The sequence below is a fragment of the Homo sapiens genome (genome assembly GCF_000001405.40).
Source record: "Homo sapiens chromosome 4 unlocalized genomic scaffold, GRCh38.p14 Primary Assembly HSCHR4_RANDOM_CTG4".
Taxonomy (NCBI): Eukaryota; Metazoa; Chordata; class Mammalia; order Primates; family Hominidae; genus Homo; species Homo sapiens.
This window is the reverse complement of record NT_113793.3, coordinates 160,184-183,415: the sequence shown is the minus strand read 5'-3', so window position 1 is coordinate 183,415 and position 23,232 is coordinate 160,184. Positions and strand designations below refer to the sequence as shown.

General features: G+C 35.0%; 1 pseudogene across 1 annotated transcript; it reads left to right on the top strand.

Moving 5' to 3' along the window:
* The first annotated feature begins 5,244 nt into the window (after positions 1 to 5,244).
* On the top strand, positions 5,245 to 21,429 carry ANKRD20A12P (ankyrin repeat domain 20 family member A12, pseudogene; annotated as a pseudogene). Its single transcript, NR_046228.1, has 5 exons — positions 5,245 to 5,889; positions 7,442 to 7,591; positions 18,532 to 18,813; positions 19,418 to 19,631; positions 20,977 to 21,429. The product of NR_046228.1 is annotated as an ankyrin repeat domain 20 family member A12, pseudogene (transcript).
* Positions 21,430 to 23,232: the final 1,803 nt, after the last annotated feature.

Here is a 23,232-nt window from a genome sequence, read left to right as displayed (position 1 = left end):
AAGCCGCTGTATGACAATCCCAGTGTTAATAACTACAAAACCATGAATCTTGAATTATAAAATGCGGGTTATTCTTTGCCACATAGTGAGAGAACATCAAAAATATAGCTAGAAGACTTACAGCAAGATATTCCAAGGTCACTAACATAGCACATGTATACATATGTAACAAACCTGCACATTGTGCACATGTAACAGAACTTAAAGTATAATAATAGTAAAAAGAATGAGGTAGGCATGTTACAAGTAGAGTTCCTGGCTTTGGAGAAAGAGAAAGTCCAACTTCAAAAAGACAGAGGTTCACTTGCTGCTTCTTTTTTCTCTTTATCAATTATTTGATTTAGTCAAATTTTCTATTCAAGAAAATCTCATGTGTACAGTTACAGCGGGGTTTTCTAAATGTGTAATCATGTGTCAAAGTAGATTAGTCCTGCTATCTAAACAACGGTTCTGGAGAATGTTCTCATAATGTTTCTTCATTAATCAACCTAAGTCTCACTCTCAGTCTTCCAAGTGGCATATGAGCTGGGAAACTAATTCAGCCATATACCATGTGACCTTCTGAACCAGATCAACATAAAGAAATTGCTAAAGAAATAAGCTTTACATTCTAGATTCTTTTTTTCTGTATTCATTTAGAGATGAATTACATTTATTTAATGATAGAATGGGAATACAATGGGAGGGAAGCAATGACTGAGATGAGCCACAAAAACACGTCTAGCCTTGAGAGTTGCAATGAATATTCCCAGCCAAATGAGTCTGTTTAATGTGTTTTCATGCACGCCAGTTTATCTGCTTAGCTCAAACTGTTTGAATTTATAGTTCCATCATGGTTATTTCCAATATTTTGAAAACAAATATATACTTCCACATATTTTAAAAAATCACCACTCCAATATTTCTGTTGAATCAGACCTTACATTATGTTGTTTAATAAAGTATGGTAAGTTTTGGCATGTATGATTTTTATCATGTAAGAAAGAAGCATAATTTCTTAGCTAAAAATTTAGCCTTTGACTCTTTAGTAGAAAGTTGAGTTCTGTACATTGTGTTCTAAAGATAGACAAAAATCTAGAGATTTTCTTCTTTCAAAGTAAAAGCAGATGAGGCCTTTTTCCACGCCTTTTTCCACCCTCTGAGGTGTTAAATTGCTTTGCTCAAGTTAGACTTTTAATATATCTGACTAATTTGATAAATTTATCTGGTAATTTATGTAATTGAGCAATATGGAATTGTATCATGTTATTTGGTGCCATGAAATGCTAGGGAATGCCACCTCAAGAGCTCTGGATGAAACATTTCATATGTCTTGGTTGGTTTGACTCCCATTTTCAGTAGATAATGGGGCTAAAGTAGTTAGCTGTACCATATGTTTTCCACCTATAAACGTTTGTGGTAATTGAATGTGAAATCTGGGAAGCATCTCGTTTTCCAGAATTCTGCATTAGAAACTCAGCAGTTTCACTCTGCTTCTTGTGTTGTGGCAAACATTGGTTCCCATAGTTCAGGGAGAACTTTCACTTTTTTGATATCCCAGGATCCAAAAAAAAAAAAAAAAAAAGAGATAAAAGGCAGTGGGGAAAAGAATAGCTCAGTGCAGAAAAGGGAAAACTTCTTTACTCTTCCTGAAGGCCTACAAGGTCACATCCTCTTAATCTGGCTATTTCATGTAAAATCCAGGTGGCAATGACAGAAGATATATGTTATGCCTGTGTCTTTTTATTTCTCTGTTTCTGCCAGTCAGATAGCATAAACATTTATATCAGATAGCAAAGAGTGGATGCGAATAAAAGCACAAAATGGAGAAGAGTCCTTTTTGAAATTTTGGAAAATTATTCCATTCACTCAAACAGAAATGAGCAGACTTGACAAAAATTTCAATGATAAAATGATAAGTGTCTTATAATTATTATGTATAATGATAAAATTAAAGTAAGCACAAAATACTTTTATCATTAAAATGGTGATAGTTAACCTGAATCAAGTGAAAAAATCAGGGAAAAAGTTTTTTTATTGAATAAAATAATAATTATTATTCATATTACTTTTATTAAAGGTCAAAGAAGGAAATAATACAAACAAAAGTGAAAAAATACAACTATCAGAAAATGTATGTCATAGTACATCTTCTGCTGCTGCTGACAGATTAACCAAACAAAGAAAGGTTGGGAAAACGTATCCTCAGCAATTTCCCAAGAAACTGAAGGAAGAGCATGATAGGTAAGTAAGCCTATAGCAGTGTGTTTTTGTTTGTTTGTTTGTTTGTTTGTTTTTCTGAGATGGAGTTTCTCTCTTGTTGCCCAAGCTGGAGTGCAATGGTGTGTTCTCAGCTCACTGCAACCTATGCATACTGGGTTCAAGTGATTCTCCTGACTCAGCCTCCCTAGTAGCTGAGATTACAGACATGTGCGACCATGCCCAACTAATTTTTTGTATTTTTAGTAGAAATGAGGTTTCACCATGTTATCCAGGCTTGTCTCGAACTCCTGACCTCAGGTGTTCTGCCCACCTCGGCCTCCCAAAGTGCTGGGTTTACAGGAGTGAGCCACCGTGCCTGGCCACCTACAGCAGTATTTCTCAGCAGATAATTGTCATTGTGCTATAAACTAATTCAAAATTGGACTAATGTTCCTTATGATTAACAAGTTTTATAGTTTTACCAGGGATATTTAGCCCTGTCTGGTAATCAGAAAAATACAAATTAACATAAAATAAGATATATTTTGTAAAGTCATGCTGATATTGAAAAAGTAATTACTACCATTGAAAATGTGAGGAAAAAGGCATTCTCATACACTGTTGGTATATGAAATTGGTAAATTATTTCTGAATGGTAACTTAGTGCTGTGTATCAAAATTTCAAATAACCTGACATCCCTTTAACTCAACAACTCCACTTCTGGGACTAGATTTCACAGGAAAACATAACTTGTGTAAACATACACACACTTATTAAGGGCATTAATTATATATTACACATAATGAACAATAGCTTAATAAATATATAAAATATATGTAATAAGAAGGTGAATTGGAAGTATTAAGAAAGAATTATAAAAAGTGTGGGGTAACAGATGTTATACTCTTTAGCCTAGTTTTAGATGACAATCATCTGCAGATATAGTTTGTGTGAGACACATCTTACTCTGTAAATCATTTGGAGAGACACCTACAATATTTCATAGAGATGAAAATTTATTTCTAGTGAACTTATACGCTTGTCAATAAATAGTAACTTTAAAAATTCAGTTGATTGTAAATGACCTTTTCTAATCGGGGAGTAATTATGACTGTGTGATTTGAAAAGGTAATTTTGAACTTCTAACTATACTGAATTATTTCCAGTATCCTTTTTTATAATACATACTAGAGTGACTAGTAACAAAAACTTTAGCAGAATATTCTTTCCTTACTACTTTTCAAGTATATACATTCGTTTGAAGATGTTGAAGTGAGAAATTAAATATCTGAGAACTACAAAGGAAAAATAATCCAGAACATAGAAATTTTATTAGGATGATAAAGAGCATCTGCAGAGGTAGATCACAGGATGATCTCTTTGTTTTTTAACAAAATGAATTTTAAGATAAATGTCTTTATCTGCAGATGCATCTTAAGACAAGAAAGTGAAGAAAAAACAAATGTTAATATGCTGTACAAAAAAATAGAGAAGAATTAGAAAGGAAAGAGAAACAATATAAGAAAGAAGTTGAAGCAAAACAACTTGAACCAACTGTTCAATCACTAGAGATGAAACTGAAGACTACAAGAAATACTCCAAATCAGATAAATCAATCTTTGTTAAAAATTCTATATTTTAAACTTTATTTTATCAATGTTACTTATAATATCCTCTTGATTTAATATATAATATTTTGGTATAAAACAAACCAGAAATGTTATCTCATTTTCAAAAAATGAATGATGACACTTACAGGTACAATTATTAATATTTATTATAAATCTTGGCATCCACATAGGATATTATTTTATTACAAAGAGCTTTTGAAAACAATAATATGCCATAATATATACTTAGTGATAACCTATTGATAAAGATTTTTTTCCCAGTAAAATTGTTCCTTGTACTTCCCGCTATTTCATATTGATTACTGTACCTAATACTATAAAGAGGAAACAAATTATTGCAATCACAAATAATCTCATGATATTCTAAGAAGAGCTCTATAAATTTTATCTTATTTACCATTGGTGTTTTGAAATAAAAGTTTTCTTTCGTATTGATACATTTACACCACAGAAGTAACTGTGATCTGTCAGAGAACTAGAAGTAGAGTCAGAAGTCCTGGGGAAAATCCTGTATCTTGCTTATATTTTTAACATTTCTTTTTCAAAATTCTGGTAACTAGATGAGTTCATCAATGAATGTATATAGGAGTGACTAGTATAATGTCTAGATTTATGATTTAGTAAATGTAATTCTTACAACTGACTATAAAAGTGTTAAAAGAGTCAAATTGAAATAGAATGTTATCAGTGAAATAGAACTGTAGTAACTCTGGGAAATTTTATCTGTCCAAATACATGTGAAGTAAAGTTCTTACTATAGGGTGGTGTAAGGGTTAGATATCAAAGTGTAAATGCAATTTTTTGATATATTTTAATTTAGTCAAATTTGTTAATGCTTTAATTTATGCTTTTGAGTTTGTTGTAATTCAGGGAAATGCTTTTCTAATTCTGAAATTCTTAAAAATTCTCTGGTGTGCGTGTGTGTGTGTGTGTGTTTACTTTTATAAATTCATTGACTTTAAATAAATTTCTGAACTTTTTGGAACTTATGCTCTATAAGGTTCAAAGTTTTGCTTCAACTTTTTCTCCAGTTGGATATCCACTTACAGTAACCTTTTTAGTATATGGATGTGCAGGTTACTCTTTAACTTCGGAGGTAATCATGATATGTTATTTTATTGCATACTAGCTAAAACTTTCTTTTGTTTTATTTAGGATTTTCATAATCAGGAAGAAATGAAAGATCTGATGGATGAAAATTGCATTTTGAAGACAGATATTGCTATACTCAGACAGGAAATATGCACAATGAAAAATGACAATGTGGAAAAAGAAAATAAATATCTTAAGGACGTTAAAATTGTTAAAAAAACAAATGCTGCCCTTGAAAAGTATATAAAACTCAATGAGGAATTGATAACAAAAACAGCATTCCGGTATCAACAAGAGCTTAATGATCTCAAAGCTGAGAATACAAGGCTCAATTCCGAACTGTTGAAGGAAGAAGAAAGCAACAAAAGACTGGAAGCTGAAATTGAATCATCAGTCTAGACTGACTGCTGCTATAAGTAAACACAGTGAAAGTGTGAAAACAGAAAGAAACCTAAAACTTGCATTAGAGTGAACACAAGACGTTTCCGTACAAGTAAAAATGAGTTCTGATATTTCCGAAGTAGAAGATAAGAATGAGTTTCTTACTGAACAACTTTCTAAAATGCAAATTAAACTCAATACCTTAAAAGATAAGTTCCGTAAGAAAAGAGATACTCTCAGAAAAAAGTCATCGGCTTTAGAAACTCTCCAAACGACCTAAGCCAAACACAGCAGCAAATAAAGGAAATGAAAGAGATGTATGAAAATGCAGAAGATAAAGTGAATAATTCCACTGGAAAGTGGAGCTGTGTAGAAGAGAGGATATGTCATCTCCAACATGAAAATCCGTGCATTGAACAGCAACTAGATGATGTTCATCAGAAAGAGGATCATAAAGAGATAGTAACTAATATCCAAAGAGGCTTTATTGAGAGTGGAAAGAAAGACCTCATGCTAGAAGAGAAAAATAAGAAGCTAATGAATGAATGTGATCATTTAAAAGAAAGTCTCTTTCAATATGAGAGAGAGAAAGCAGAAAGAGTAGTAAGTATCAAGGAAGATAAATATTTTCAAACTTTTAGAAAGAAAATTTAAACATTTGGTTCTGGATACATGTTGAACTTAGTTGAATATAAAAATCAATGGATAAAAAGTGTGTTTACCATACTGTATAATTCCATTTACATGAAGCATCCAGAAAAGATAAACGTATAGGGACAAAAAGTAGACTAATGTTTGCAAAGGGCTGGGGCTGAAAGCTGGTAGTGACTGCTAATGGGAGTGAGGGATCTTGCAGTGATGGAAATGCTGTAAAGTTGGATTGTAGAGATGGCTGCACAACTCAGTAAATGGACTAAAAAATCTTTTAACTTTAAGTTAAAACAGATACATTCTATAGTATGTAAATTATATTTGAACAAAGCTGTTTTAATAAAAAAAAGGAAAACCGTGTTTACTATACCAGCTTAGAAACGTGCCTCATTTCTAGGAAATAAAAGGTAGAGGTGAGAGATGATTTACTTTGAGAAAAGACATTGTGTCACCTATGAAATTTTATTAGGGACAGAGTCATATTTTAAGGTAGATAGTTCTGTGCTGCTGAAATAATAATTTTAATGACTTTATGTTGCCACATGTTAAGACCATAATGTAAGTATAAATGGAAATGTTTACACCTGAAATGAGTATTTTCAAATTAAAATTTAATTGATTTTCTTTAACACTTAATTCTAGATTTCCCAGATGAACTGAAGTGTATTGCTGTGTCTTGTGATACCTTGCTTTAAGTAGCTTTTTATGTATTTTAGTTGGTATATCTTTGTTATTAATCATATTAATTTAACAAATCTGAAAATATGTCAAATTACATATTTTTATGACTATGTAATGTTTCAAAGGCACCTACTTGTTATAAAATCATAATTTAGGATACATGTGGTAATATTTAGCAAAACTATATTTGGTTTAGTCTTCCCACTGGTATTTATAGTTTACTTTGAATATTTATATTAATAATTAGCTCCTAATTTTTATTTCAAGGCTCAATGACTATCATTGGAATATAATTTTGTTCAGTACAAAGATACTTGTAGCTGCCTGTGATTTATGAGTAAGGCATTAGATCCCTATTTTCAGACTGAGGGGTGGCAGGCTTCACGTACAGTGGGAATGGAGTAATTACAGGAGGGAGTTGAAGGAGCTTTGAAGTCAGAGAGAGAGGTAGAGACCTGTTTACCTAGGACCTCAAAGGCCATGGGAATTTTACCTTTATTCTGAGATAGGAATCTGTTGGAAGGATTTGAACAGGTGATTGAATATGTCAGGAACTTTGAGGTTGAGTTGAGCTTCTAAGATGATTGAATGGTGGGATGAATCTGTTATGTAGGTAAGAGAAAACCAACTTGGCAGGAAGAGAACATATTGTGCATCCCTCACTGAATTCAGTAATAAATAAAAATGTGTACATGTGATTAAAAGAAGGTGAATTGATATGTGTGGTGATAATTTTCAAAGTAGGTATGTTAGAGTTAAATATTATTAACATAATTTAATAATAAGGCAATTTATAAAATCAGTAACAAAAATATTTTCTCAGGTGGTTGTGAGACAACTTCAACAAGAAGCGGCTGACAGCCTAAAAAAATTAACTATGTTAGAGTCTCCACTGGAAGGCATATCACATTATCACATTAATTTGGATGAGACACAGGTCCCAAAAAAGAAATTATTTCAAGTGGAAAGTCAAGTATGTATGGAACTTAGCATGTCAACTGTTATTCTGTAGCTAGTTGAATTACATAACATGTTTTAGGATACTAATTATGGCAGAAGCTTGATTTTTTATTTTCATTACAATGAATTATTTCCATTTTACTATCTCTATAATGTACTTATTTTTTTATATAGTGACTTTCATTCTACCATTTTGAAAAACCATTGCATATCTTTTCTCTTACAATATGTACCCTTGGAAAAGTTGAGAATTATACATCATTCCTCATAGAAAACTGACTTTTGTCCTGTTAAAACAGTATTTTTAAGTAATTTTTGTATTGCTCTGATGAGGCGGGCCAGATTAAATCAGAGAAGAATGTTTCATGGAATGTTCCAGAAAATTGTCTTATTTCTTCACTTTTGTGAGTGGACACAGAATCTGTGTCTATTTATTTCACAGATTCTAGGTTAACTTGTACAGAAAGGCCATTATACTATTCTTTTAAAAGTGCATGTTTTAGGTTAATTTACAAACTATTTGAAAAGTTAGGCATTTTCTTTATCTTTTATTTAAAATATACTATAAAACTGTGGAAATAATTAAATTTGAGATAACATGTACATCAAAAATTGAGAGTTGAGAAAATTATCTTGATCCTGCCTTTGGATTTTAAAAACAGTTTCACTGAGATATCATTCACATTTGAGAGAGTTCAACCATTTAAAATGTACAACTGAGTATCTATTAGTATATTCACAGCATTTTCATCACCCTGAAAAGCAACCCCACATCTCCTAGGCATGACTGCAGCCTTCCTCCATGTCCCTCCACCTACCTCTGTTGTAGGCAACCACCATCTATCTACTTTTGTCTCCATATGTTTGCCTGTTCTGCTTATTTCATATACATAGAGTTATACAATACATAGTCCTCTGTGACTGGCTTTTTCACTTAGCATAATGTTTTCAGAATTCACTTAGCATAATGTTTTAGCACACATTGGTAGTTTATTTCTTCTTATAGTTAAATGATGTTCTATTCCATGGCTATACTGGTTTTCCATTCATTCATCAGTTGATGGACCTTTAAGTTAGTTTCCACTTTTTAGCTCTTATGAAAAATGCTGCTGTGAACATTCACTTACAGGTTATTATGTGGACATGGGTTTTTATTTCTCTGCCATTGGACCTTATCCTCAGAGTTAATTGGGCAGATTTCAGCACTTATCTTGCTCATGCTATTCTTTCTACCTTCTCAGTTTCTGTTCATCTAGCCTCATTCACTCAGACGTGGCAGACAATTTATTGTTTTCATGAAGCTTTCTCTGACTGTTCTCTCATTGACCTTATGTGTTAGCAATCATTGTCTAGTCTGTGCAGAAAAACTTAGTTCTTAATTTTACATGGCTTTTTTATGGAAGATAATTTTCTCTCATTATAAATTTGCTTAATGGGGGAATAATATATAATATGTATGCCACCTATCCTTGCATACATTGAAAATATTTTAGCTTAGAAGTTTGTAGCATACAATTCAATACTTTATACCATACCAATTATTTCTTCTTTGAGACCTTGACACAGTAAGGTTTATATTCTAAGTGTGTTTTTAGCAATTAAATATTAAATCTAAACCAATTAGTCTAATACAGGAGACTTGTTAAATCACATGTTTATGTTTTTCTCTCTATGAAAAAGAATCTAAATTGGCCTTTTTTCACTATGCAGCAGAACTGTATTTCTGGACTGCTCCCAGTTTGTCAGCTGAACAGTTCTGGGTGCAGCTTGTCCGATGATGGATAGCACAGCCCCTCAATCTGAGTGCTCAGCAGAGTGCTTGTGAAGGCAGCACCACAGCAACAGTTGCTCAGAGGGAACGGATTCAGGAGCCTTGATTTAGCAATAGAGTCCAGGGTTTTCAGCTCAGTGTCTTTAGCCTGTCTCTGCTGGTCATGTCAGTTATGTACTATTCAATCCAGGAGGTGCTGTTTACATTGTAGTACATACATAGTCATTGCCTAATGAGTCATACAGAGAGAAAAGTAAGTTATAAATTATGTCCCCCATTTGCTGCAACTCTCAGTGGTAAGAATGATTCAGTGCAGCTATAGGAGAGTACTTCCATTGGCATGCCACCTGCCTAAAATACACAATTTTGTTAAGATATACAATAAAATTATTATGCTAATAGCAAATATTTTATGTAGCTCACTGTGTTCCACGTAGTCTTCTAAGTGTTTCATGTTAGTCCCCAGTTAAACACCTGGTTTTGGAAGGCTGAAGCAGGAGGATCGTTTGAGCCCATGAGTTTGAGACCAGCCAGAGCAATATAGTGAGACCCTGTCTCAAAAAAAAAAAAAAAAAAAAAAAAAAAATTAAACACTTATCTGAGGCATGGTGGTGCACGCCTGTAGTCCCAGCTACATTGGGAGGCTGTGGTAGGAGGGTCGTTTGAGCTTGGAATATTGAGGCTGTAGTGAACAGTGATCAAGCCACTGCACTCCAGGCTGGGTAACAGAGGGAGACTCTGTCTCATAAATAAAAAGTTTTGTATAGATTCCCATAGAAGTGAGTTAGACATCAGTCATAGAATTATTAGCCACTTTGATGTCTACCTTGGGAGTAAAACATATAATGGGCAGCGTTAAACCATCTCAATCAATAGCCTCCAACTTCTCGAGAAGGTTCTTATTTCATGAATTTCTAAACAAGCGATTACCTGGATTAAGACATTTGGTGGACACCATTTTGAGATGAAGAATCTTGAGTGAGAAGAAGGGAGATCTCTACTTACTGAAGCTTCCCAATGACATAGTTAAGTGTCCCCCAAAAGAAACTTTAGAACAAGACTTTCATCATGCCATATCTCTACGGAAAAGGAATTTCTTTAAAAGAAAACAAAGGCAAACAATTGATAATATGATTCTCATGGGAAAGTTTTCATCATAAAAGAAAAAGAGGGCTGGGTGCCATGGTTCACGTCTGTAATCCCAACACTTTGGGAGGCTGAGGTGCGTGGATTACCTGAGGTCAGCAGTTCAAAAACAGCCTGGCCAACATGGTGAAACCCTGTCTCTACTGAAAATAGAAAAATTAGCCAGGTGTGGTGGTGTGCACCTGTAGTCCCAGCTACTTGGGATGCCGAGGTAGGAGAATCACTTGAACCCAGGAGGTGGAAGTTGCAGTAAGCCGAGATGGTGCCACTGCACTCCAGCCTGGATGACACAGTGTGACTCCATCTCAAAAAAAAGAAAAAAAGAAAAACAAAAAAGGGACAAAGTATACTGGTCCAAAAAAGAAGAAAGCAAGAAAAAAAGGACAAAGTATACTGGTTAGTATCATAACAGTGAGATAGTACCCCTTTGAGATTAGAAAATAACAGTATACTCAAAGTAACATTAATGAGAACCAACATAAAATAGACAACATTCACTATATCTACAAAAGTAATCTGCACCAATTAGCAATGTATGAGCATGTGGTTGAGAATATTTTCTATAATATGTGTACTAGAAGGAAGAGACCTCAAGAAAATGGTCAGAGCTGGAAATGTAGATTAGGGAATCTAGGTCAAAGTTTTGAGATTTTAGGAGTCCTGAGAGAATTTAAAAAGAGAAATAGCCACCAGGCATGGTGGCCACACCTGTAATCCCAGCACTTTGGGAGGCCAAGGCAGGAAGATCATGAGGTCAGGAGTTCAAGACCAGTCTGGCCAACAAGTTTCTTATATAGGTAAACGTGTTCCATGATGGTTTGCTGCACCTATCAATCCATCACCTAGATATTAAGCCCTGTGGGCATTAGTTATTGATCTTGATGCTCTCCCTCCTGACCCCAACAGGCCCCAGTGTTTGTTGTTCCCCTCCCCGAGTCCATGTGTTCTTATCGTTCAGCTCCCACTTATAGGTGAGAAGATGCAGTGTTTGGTTTTTTCTTCCTGCATTAGTTTGCTGAAGATATCAGCTTCGGGTTCATCCATATCCCTGCAAAGAGCATGATCTCATTCATTTTTATGGCTCCATAGTATTCCATGGTGTATATATACCACATTTTCTTTATCCCATTATCACTGATAATGTCCATCTGGGTTGATTACATGTCTTTACTATTGTGAATAGTGCTGCAGTGAACATGCAAATGCATGTATCTTTATAGAATAATTTATATTCCAAAGTATGGTAATTTTAAATCAGTTTTGGTATTAAAAATCATGCATTTTGGAAAATATTGATAATGGAAAAATCCAAATTCTGCCAAAATATGTTGAGAAAATAGAGGGTAAATATATCTTTTCAAACTTTAAATGCCTCAGGCTCTTAGTTAATCTTCCCCAGATCTGGGAAGACCTAGAAGGGGAGAGATTGGGCTACCTTAATGAGGGCCATTTCAATCTCTTGGCCCTGCAGCAGCCATTTCAAAATACGTCAAAAAATATATTTGGGGGTAAAATATTTTGATTTCCTTCAGCTTCTTCTCTCTGTGATGCTGCACCAGAATCAGATTAGAAAGGAAGCCACATTATAAGTGTTAATAAAACCCATCTGATGAGATTTGATAGTTTGAAGGGTGTGTTTCCCAGACCTTTAGATAGAAATTGGGGCCAAGGAAAACAAGGTGTTATTCCTCTATATAAATCTGTCAGTGCTTTAAGCAGTGAAAGAAAGATTTTTCATTGAATTTTACAGACTTGATACTAATGAAAAGGATAGCTTGTAAAATATAAATCTCTTTTTCTATAAAAAGGACATGTTGTTGATTCTCTTAGACCTTGAACCCTGGCCAGTGATTTGAAACCAAGCAGTACCTATCTGCAGATCTCTAGTACCAAATTAATTTGGGGTGGGGGGTAACAGGTTTATTGAGAAATAATGAACACGCCATGCAATTCACTCATTTAAAGTATAGAATTCATTAACTTTAGTATTTTCAGAGAGCTATGCCATCATCATTACAATTAATTTTAGAACATTTTCATCACCCTAAAAACAAACCCCACGTCATTTAGCCATCTTCACTAGCTTTCCCTTCCTCCCTCAGCCCTAGGGAACCACCCACCTTCTTTGTATAGATTTGCCTATAAGCCTCTGAAATAAAAAGCAAGTGGTCTGCTGGGACTGGCTTATTTCACTTAGCATAATTTTTCATGCTGCATCTGTGCTGTAGCAGGTATTGATGCCGGGTTTTTGCTCCTTAGTTCAGCTACATCTGGGTTCTTCTCTCGTGACCAGGAAAAATTAAGCATGCAGACACATTGAGGAGGGCAGAATTTATTATGTGAAAGGACAGCTCTCAGCAAAGAGAGGGGTCCTGCAAAGAGGTTTCCACCTCACAATTGAATACCAGGATCACATGAGCTGAAGCGGCCAGGCTCCTCCTCTGCATAAGGCGTGAATTCCTGGTGACTCCACCCCATCCCCCCACTGCATGTGGGCCTCCGGTCTGCTGTGGGCATGTCCAGGCAAGACAAGTCCAGGTTCCCTTATCTGCACATAACATCTGGTGTAAACACTTGTGGGGCTGGTTGGAGATTCTCCGGGGACCCTTCCGTATCTGCCTAGGCATTTTGCTGTCTCCTCCTAATACGGTATCTGTACTTAATTTCTTCTTATTGCTGAGTAATATTCCATTGTATGGATACATCAAACATTTTATTTATCCATTCGCCAGGTGATGGACCTTTGGGTTCTCTCCCACCCAAAGGTGACAGACGTTCTGGTTCTTTCCACCTTTTGACTACTATTAATAATGCTGCTGTAAACATTTATGTATGAGTTTTTGTGTTTGCGTATGTTTTTATTTTTCTGGAGTATATACTTATGACTGGAATTTCTGTGTCATATGGTAACTTCATGCTTAACCCTTTAAGGAGCTGCCAGTTTGTTTTCCAAAGTGGCTGCATCACTTTACATTCCCAGCAGCATTAGATAAAGGTTTTAATTTCTTTACATTTTTCCTAACACTCTTTTTTCTTGAACAAAGATTTTATCCTGTGGTGTGAAGTGATACCACATGTGGTTTTGATTTACATTTTCCTAATGACTAATTACATTAAGCATCTATTAATGTGCTTATCCATCTTTATATCTTCTTTGCAGATATATCTATTCAAAATCTTTGCCCATTTTTTAAAATTGGCTTATCTTGTTATTTATTAATTGCAAGAGTTATTTATATTTCCTATATATGTAAGTCCCTTATCAGATACACGCTTTTCAAATACTTTCTTCTACTTGGCGTCTTACCTTTTCACTTCTTCATACTGTCTTCTGAGGCACAGCAGTTTTCAATTTTGAAGTCCATTGAATCCATTTTTCCTTTGGAGTCATAGCTAAGAAAACACTGGCAAATGCAGTCACAAAGATTTATGCCAGTGTTTTCTTCTGAGGGTTTTATAGTTTTAGCTTTTACAGTTAACTATTTTATTTTGAGTTAATTATTAAATAAGATATTTGGTCGAACTTTATTTATTTTTTGCTTATGGATACCCAGTTGTCCCAGCACCATTTGTTGAAAAGACTATTCTTTTCCCATTTTGTTCTTTTGTTAAGCTTGTATAAAATCAATTGACTGTAAAAGTGCAGGCTTATTTTTAGATTGTCAATTCTTAGCTTGTTTATGTCTATTCTTATGTCAAGGCCCAATCGAATTGAATGAGAAGTTTTTTTCAATCATGTTGCATATTACCAGTTATCTTATGTCATAATAAAAATTAAATTTAGTGGAATGTCTGTAACTTCACCTTTTGTGTCACAAAGGAGTCTCTGGCCAGCTTATACCTTACTTCCTCTAAGACATGATCAGACGCCAGGCTTACAAGACACACTTAATTTCTTTTTTTCTCCATTCAAGCCTTTAGTCTCTTTTCCATTACCTCCCACTATAGTTATATTTTCAGTAAGTTTTGGTTACAGGATCTGCTGACATAGTCTAATATTCAGTGCATTATGTTTTACTAACTCATTATAATTCATAGAACCTTCCATAGATGTTTACCATCTAGGAAGGAGAAGTTTAAGTCTGAGCCACCAGCTTTCCTCAGTGGAAATCAAGTGAAGTCATCATCTTGCAGTTTACAGACCCTCTTTTCTCCTGGTAGCTGGTTCTCTTGGGTAGCACTGTGGCTAATCCTTTTCTTAGTGCAGATCTTGCATTCTCAGAAACCACAGTTCCCTGTATTGACCTCCTTTTACTGAAACAGAGATGCACAGCTCTGCTTTCTAGCTCAGTAGAGGATTCTTGGAATAAAACGTTTAATTCATTCCAAGAAAAAGTCTTAGGAGTGCAGCACTTCAAAATCAGGTAACGTTCAGGCAATTTATCAGAGACACATAGTAGATTAGTATTTTGAGTTTCAAAATTTCAGAGCCAAGTTGTGTGCTATAGAGAAGCATTGTGGCATAACATAGAGATGGGATGGTTTTTACTTCTCCATACAAACAAGCTTGGAGTAAGGTAAAGGAGAAATTGCATTTGTGTCTTAACACTCAAAACACACTATGCTTATTTTACTTCTGTGAAGAATAAAAATCATTCCATAATATTCTCCTTATTTCCTCATTTAGAAAAGAAAATGAAAATTGAATACTAGGTTGATTAATAAATACTCAAAACTTCTTCTTTTAGAATTTTAGTTAATTGAAATCAGGTAAATGTCTGATTTTGCCTATGTCACCCAGTATTTCTAGTTGTTTTTCAAATCATACATCTTCTTGCTTCCCAGTCTTACTTCCTAACTTGAGGGGAAATTGTAAGAAGACACCCTTGCCTTGTTATCAGAGTTCATAATTGAAGTTGTTTTAGGAAAATTCCTCCTCAGCAGCTTATGTCTCTCTCCTGGTTATCTACTGCTTCTCAATAATGTTTGACATCAATAAATATCAACCTTTATTAGATCCTGCTTTAAAGGAGACTCTTTTCTGCTGCATAAGTTATGTTTCCTGTTGTCTCTTTTTAAAACTTATTTTCCTAACAATTACCCAGAGTCTTGTGGCTTGAAAGAAAAACATTTATTTTGTTCATGAACCTGTGGTTGGGGAAAAACTTGGCCAAGACAGCTTGTCTCTGCTCCCTTCAGCTTCCCTAGGAACAGCTGATCAGTTGGGGAAATGGAATCCTCTGAAGCTTTGGTCACCCACTTGTTTGATGGTTGATGCTGGCCATCGGCTGTAAACTTGGTTGGGACAGGCAGCATGAACACTGACACAGGCACTTTCAGGCTCTCTTTGTGGCCTGATGGCTCTCACAATTGGGGCAGGGTTCCAAGGGAAAACAGTCTGAGATAGGGAAGCCACATGGTATCCCTTTCACTACATTCTACTCATTAGAAGGAAGTCAGTAAGGCTGGCCCATATTCTGTTTTTTAAATGGGATGAATGTAGCTTCTCTTTTGTTTTAATTGACACATATATACATAATTGTGGGCTATAGAGTGATATTTTTATACATGTATATAGTGTGTAATGATCAATCTAACTAGCACATTTACTACTTCAACCATTTTTCATTTCTTTGAATTGTGAACATTCAAAATTTTCTGGCTTTTTAAAAATATACAATAAGTCATAGTTAACCATATTCACCCTACAATGCCACAGAACACCAGAACTCACTCCTCTTATCTAACTGTAATTCTGTATCCATTAACCAGCCTCCCCTCCCCTACTTCTGTGAGCTTTTTTTTTGTTAAGAGACGGGGTCTTGCTAGTATAGTCTGGACTCTGGGCAACTGTAGTCACCCAGACTGGAGACAGTGGTTTGATCATAGTTCACTACAGCTTCAAACTCTTGGGCCCATCTGATCCTCACACCTCAGTCTCCTGAGCAGCTGGCATTATGGGCATGCACCATTGCACATGTCTGATTTTTGACTTTGTAGAGATATCTCCCTATGTTGCCCAGGGAGCTCTGGAACTTTTGGCCTCAAATGATTCTCTTGCCTTGGTCTTACAAAGAGCTAGGAAATTACAGGCATCAGCCATATTGCCCAGCCTTCAATTTTCCTTTAGCTCCCTTACATGAGTAAGAATGTGCAGTATTTATCTTTCTGTGTCTGCACTTAACATCCGTCAGACTGATCCACGTGGCCACGAATAACAGGATTTAATTCCTTTATACGGTGAATAGTATTCCACTGTGTTTGTGTGCCACAGTTTTTCGTCCATTCATTTGGTGATGGACATGTAGGTTGATTCCATACACAAGCTGTTGTGGATAGTGCTACAGTAAACATATGAGGACAGATATCCTTTTGATCTATTGTTTTCTTTTCTATTGCCTGAATACCCGGTAGTGGGGTTGCTGGATCCCTCGGCAGTCCCATTATTAGTTTTTTTGAGAAAACCTCCTGTTATTCTCTATTGCGGCTGCACTAATTTACCTTCCCACCAACAGCATGTAAGAGTTTACTGTTCTCTGGAGCCTCACCAGCATTTGTTATTTTTTTGTATTTTCAATGACAGCAATTTATTCAAATTGAAGCAAGATTATATCACATTGTAGATTTGATTTGTATTTCCCTGAGGATTAGTGATACTGAGCATTTTAAAATTTATTTATTGGCTATTTGTATTTCTTTTTCTAAAAAAAAGTATAGTTAGATATTTTGCCCAATTTTAAACTCAGATTTTTTTTACTGTGAAGTTGTTTGAGTTTTTTTGTATATTTTGTATATTAGTCCCTTATTAGGTGAATAGCTTGACAATATTTTCTCCTATTCTACAGGTTTTCTCTTCGCTCAGTTGTTTGCTGGACAGAAGCTCTTTAGCTTAATGTAGTGTCTTTTGTCTATGATTTGTTGTTTGCCTATGCTTCTGATGTCTTACCCATAAAAATCTTTGTGCAGACTAATGTCCTCAAGCATTTTCCCTATATTTACTAAGAGTAGTTTGATAATTTTGGGCCTTACATTTCAGTCTTCAATCGATTCTGAGTTTATGTTGTTATATGGTGTTACATAGGAAGCTAGTATCATTCTTCTCCATATGGATATTTAGTTTTCCCAGTGTCATTCATTTGAAGAGGCTGTCCTTTCCCCAGCGTATGTTCTTGGCATGTTCGTCCAAAATCAGTTGGCTGGAAATATGTGGATTTATTTCTGGGTGCCGTATTCTATGGTCTTTACCCCAAGAATCATTACTTCTTAAAATGCAATTCAAATTAGCATGAAACATTTGCAGTTTAAGGAAAGGCTTATAGCATCAGAATCCTTAATCATAGATTTCATTATTTTGTGGATTTTTTTTTGAGATAGGGTCTTTGTCTGTCATCCAGGCAGAAGTGCAGTGATAATAATTCACTGCAGCCCTGAACTCTGGGTACAAGCCATCCTTTTGCCTCAGTATCCCAACTAGCTGGGTCTACAGGCATGAGCCACCATGCCCGGGTAATTAAAAATTTTTTTTTTTGTAGAGAGGGGGGTCTCACTATGTTGCTCTTACTGATCTCAAATTCCTGGCCTCAAGTGATCTTTCTGCCACAGCTTTTTAAAGTGCTAGGATTACAGGCATGAGCCACCATGCCTAATATAGAGTGTAATATCATTTTCAAAGTCTTATTCCTAGACCCATTTATTGACTTTGGCCTAAATAACTCAATATGATATCTCTGAAACTTTTTTTGACATATTGTGGGGAATAATAATGAAGGAAGGGGGTTAGACACTTTTTACTAGGAGATAACTTTGTGCCATTTAAGGAGGAACAAAAATGAATTATCAGAAAAATAAAAGTAAAATGAAGTACAAAAATTCTGTGGCAAAGATGGTGATAGTAAAGAATATATTTTTATGACTCATGGTAGCTTTAACTTTGTTCTTAAAATTCTGAGTAATTTAAGGGTTCACATTTGAAGAATCTGCTGCATTACAGATAACATTTTATTGCAAGTAAATGCATTTCAAAATTTGCTATTGGTTTTGTATTAGATTATTCTCAGCCTACTTCATTATCAAGCTATACTATTTTATTCATGCAGTTTGATGATCTTATGGTGGAGAAGGAAGCTGTATCTTCAAAATGTGTCAATTTGGCTAAAGAGAATCAAGTTTTTCAACAGAAGTTATTATCTATGAAAAAAGTACAACAGGAATGTGAAAAACTTGAGGAGGATAAAAAGATGTTGGAAGAAGAAATATTAAATCTTAAGACACATATGGAAAACAGTATGGTAGAACTTAGTAAACTACAAGAATATAAATCAGAGCTAGATGAAAGGGCAATGCAGGCAGTAGAAAAATTAGAAGAAATCCATTTACAGGTGAGTTGTTTAAATCAGGTAAGTTTACTTGTAATGTGCTTTCATTTATTTCACTGCAAATTATATTTTGGATATATATATATATATATATATATAGTGTTTCCTCTGCCTCTCTTGTAGCAATCTGCTTTGTAGAGTTCTAGAAAAAAATGGTATCTGTTTTTTCTTTTAAATATTTAAATTTCCATTATTATTATAACAAAATCAATCTTTCAGAGTAATGATTCTCATTATGGAGTCATTTGATGATTAAGACCAGTTGGCATAGGAAAAAATTGTGATTTAGAAATTATGTGATAATTATGAATTGGTCTTAAGCTACAGTGTTCATTGATCACTTTTTAAAACTATGAATGGATGCTATTACTTTTTATATGACCAGATTACATTAATACTAGCATAATTATGATTTCAAATTTTTACAAATCAGACTTAATTCTGAATTCAGTTATTAGTTTTGATATTGCTGAAATATTTTAAACTTCATCCTCTTTTTTAACATATTCAAAAATGCTCTTTGAATCACTGACTCAAAATGAAAGGCAACAAACATAATAATTAGGTTATAATTGTTTTAAAAGTGTATTCTTTTCCTCTGTTTTAGGAACAAGCACAATATAAAAAACAATTAGAGCAGTTAAACAAGGATATAATACAGCTTCACTAAATAAGAAGGAACTCACACTTAAAGATGTGGAATGTAAATTCTACAAAATGAAAACTGCTTATGAAGAGGTTACAACTGAGTTAGAAGAATATAAGGAAGGCTTTGCAGCAGCATTGAAAGCTAACAGTTCCATGTCAAAAAAATTAACTAAGTAAGTCAAAACATACACTCATAGAAAATGAATTAAGCTCATTAATTTGTTTCAAAAGCATAATTTTTAGTGAGATGGCTTCAGGAGATTAGAAGGAAGTGAATGCTAATTTGACAATGTAATTTTGAAAAATAATGTTAGTAAATAATTTTACCTTTAAAATGTTAGTCAAAGATAGTTTTTGTCTCTCCTCTCATTTTTTTTTTTTTTTTTTGCTTTTGTATGGCTTTTTTTCCTGAAAAGTCTCATGTAATTAACCTGATCTATTAGTTTTTTTCACTAAGTATTTTTGAAGTTTTATAATTAATGAAGTGATCTTGTTATAAAATTACTTGTCAGAATTTCCCTAAATAGAAATATTAATGTGTTTAATTTACTTTTCAGTGGATCACAACCTAAATGTAAAGTGGTACTGCTACTCTGGGCACAATTGTTTTTGATTGTGATCTTTAGTATTATCACCAGAGGGTGCCTCAAGAAAGACTATTTGTGTAACATATTCAAGATGTTACAGAAAGGCACCCTTGTGAAATAGGGAATAATTATCACAGGAATTTAAAGAAGTGTAATTCACAAAGCGGTTAAAAAATAACACCTTGTTCAGCCTGAAGCGGTGTGTGGAAGGCAGAAAGAACATGCCCCCACCTCCAGGGCCTTGGTCACAGTGTTGGGGGCTAATTGCCTTCAGAGATGCTTTAGTTCTTTTTGATCACCAACCAGACAATCTAGTTCTCCCCTAGGAGTTGTTGCTCTGAATTATTCCTCAGTGCCAAATGTTTAATTGGTCCTAGATAATGGGTGAAATGTACAAGAGTGAAATCTAAAACTGGTTTACTAAACACAAGTATTCCTAGATTTTTTTTCGTTCATTTTAGTTTTCTTAACCTACATTAAGGAGTACAACATGATGTTTTGATATAATTATTTCTAGTGAAGTGGTTCTTATAATCAAGCAAATCAATATATTCATTTTCCCACATTATTACCCTTTAAATACAAGTATTTCTAATGGAATCTTCAGAATCTTACAAGTAGAGCCATTTTAGAAGGCAGGAAGTTTTACCTGTTGAGCCATACATCACTGATAGCCATTTCTCTTCCCTGTCTACTTTGTTTGAACTGCTTGTTCAGTAGAAATCACCTTAGAAACAATGGTGCTTCTTTAGAACGATTTTAAAATTATAATTCCTTACAACAGGTATGCTCTTACACATCTTCTCTGTGAAAACACTATTTAGTGGGTAATTTGGTTTACTCTCAGGGTAAGTTTTTAAAAACTGCAAGTCATTAAGAATCATTTAAGGAAAAATGAAATATTAAGCATTTGTCTTTGCTATCTTTACAGATCGAATAAGAAAATAGCAATGATCAGTATCAGCTCTTTATGGAGAAAGAGCAGGTGAAATATTTTCTCAGCACTCTTCCTACAAGGCGAGGTCGAGAGTCACCTTGTGTTGAAAATCTTACTAGTATAGGACTCAACAGAAAATATATTCCCCAAATGCCCGTAAGAATTCCTACTTCAAACCTCAGACTTCAAATAACTGCCAGAACTACTTGACTGATGTTAGTTATATGACCGTTTCTCTTTAGGGTTTCATTTGTCTAGCGTAATTCTTGTTTATAATTTGGTGAAACACTGAGTTGTTCTGTTGACTTTTGCATGTGAAGTAAAGATCATAATTAGCTGTGTTAACACAGAAAGGAAATGGGAACTTTACATTTTTTAATTCCCTGGAGCTCTCATTTTCAAGAGATATCCATTTGCTAACTTTATTCAATAAATGTGACTAAACTGACACGTTTGAAATGTCTTTAAAAGCTGCATTTAAGTTAGGTTTTAGAAATTGCATGTTATTGCCTGATAACTGATGATATACTTTGAGATGCTTTGGCTTACTCTCTAATTGATTGTAGTTTAGCTGTGGTTCATACCACATTTTTTTTTCTTTTTTTTGAGGCAGTGTCTCACTCTGTCACCCAGGCTGGAGTGTCTTGGTGCCATCTCCACTCACTGCAACCTCCACCTCCCGGGTTCAAGTGATTCTCCTGCCTCAGCCTCCTGAGTAGCTGAGACTACAAGCACCCACCATTACACCCAGCTAATGTTTGCATTTTTAGTAGAGACAGGGTTTCACCATATTGGCCAGGCTCTTCTTGAACTCCTGACTTTGTGATCTGCCTGCCTGAGCCTCTCAAAGTGCTGGGATTACAGGCATGAGCCACCGCACCCAGCCCATGCCACTTTTAAAGTTTCTTTGCACCAGCCAGGTGTGGTGGCTCATGCCTGTAATCCCAGCACTTTGGGAGGCTGAGGCAGGTGTATCACGAGGTCAGGAGTTCAAGATCAGCCTGGCCAAGGTGGTGAAACCCCATCTCTACTAAAAGTACAAAAAAAATATTAGCCTGGTGTGGTGGTGGGCACCTGTAATCCCAGCTACTAGGAAGGCTGAGGCAGAGAATTGCTTGAACCTGGGAGACGGAGGTTGCAGGAGCTGAGATTGCACCACTGCACTCCAGCCTGGGTGACAGGGCAAGACTCCATCTTGAAAATAAAAAAAAAAATCAAAAAAAGTTTATTTGCACCATCTCAATTCTTCCCACCCATAATCACAACTGAATGATTGGCATCCAAACACTTTGCCACATATGGATGTTTATTATTTAGTAGAATCCAAAATAATTGCATTTTATGAATTAAATAAAACACTAAAATGTTCATTTCCCTTTTTATGTTAAAAGTTTTGTGCTTGGCCAGGCATGGTGGCTCACACTTGTAATCCCAAAATTTGGGGAGGCCGAGGCAGATGAATCACCTGACGTCAGGAGTTTGAGACCAGCCTGGCCAACATGATGAAACCTGTCTCTAGTAAAAATACAAAAATTAGCAAGGCGTGTTGGCAGGCATGTGTAATCTCAGATACTCAGGGGGCTGAGGCAGGAGAATCACTTGAACCCAGGAGACAGAGGTTGCAGTAAGCCAAGATCATACCACTGCACTATAGCCTTGGTGATGGAGACTCTGTCTCAAAACAAAACAAAAAAATGTTTGTGCTTTCCTTACATAAGAGTACATCTTCTGACTATAAAAATCCTGGAAGAAAACCTAGGAAATACTCTTCTGGATATCATATTTGTCAATTAATTTATGGCTAAGTCCTCAAAAGCAATTGCAAGAATAACAAAAATTGACAAGTGTGATCTAATTTAGCTAAATAGCTTCTGCACAGCATGAGAAACTATCGCGGGATTAAACAGACAGCCTAAAAGAATGGAAGAAAATATTCACAAAGTATGGATATAGCAAACGCCTATTATCCAGAAACCATAAGAGACCTAAACAAATCAACAAGCAAAAAATAAATAAGACCATTAAAAATGGGCAAAGGACATGAACAGACAGTTCTCAAAATAACACACGTAAGTGGCCAACAAACATTAACAAATGCTTACCATTGCTAATCATCAGAAAAATGCCAAACAAAACATCAATGAGATACCATTTCACACCAGTCACAATGACTTTTGTTAAAAACAAATAATAAATAAAAACTTAAAAAAAGGGTGTTGGGGAGGCTGTGGAGAAAAGGGAACACAACCC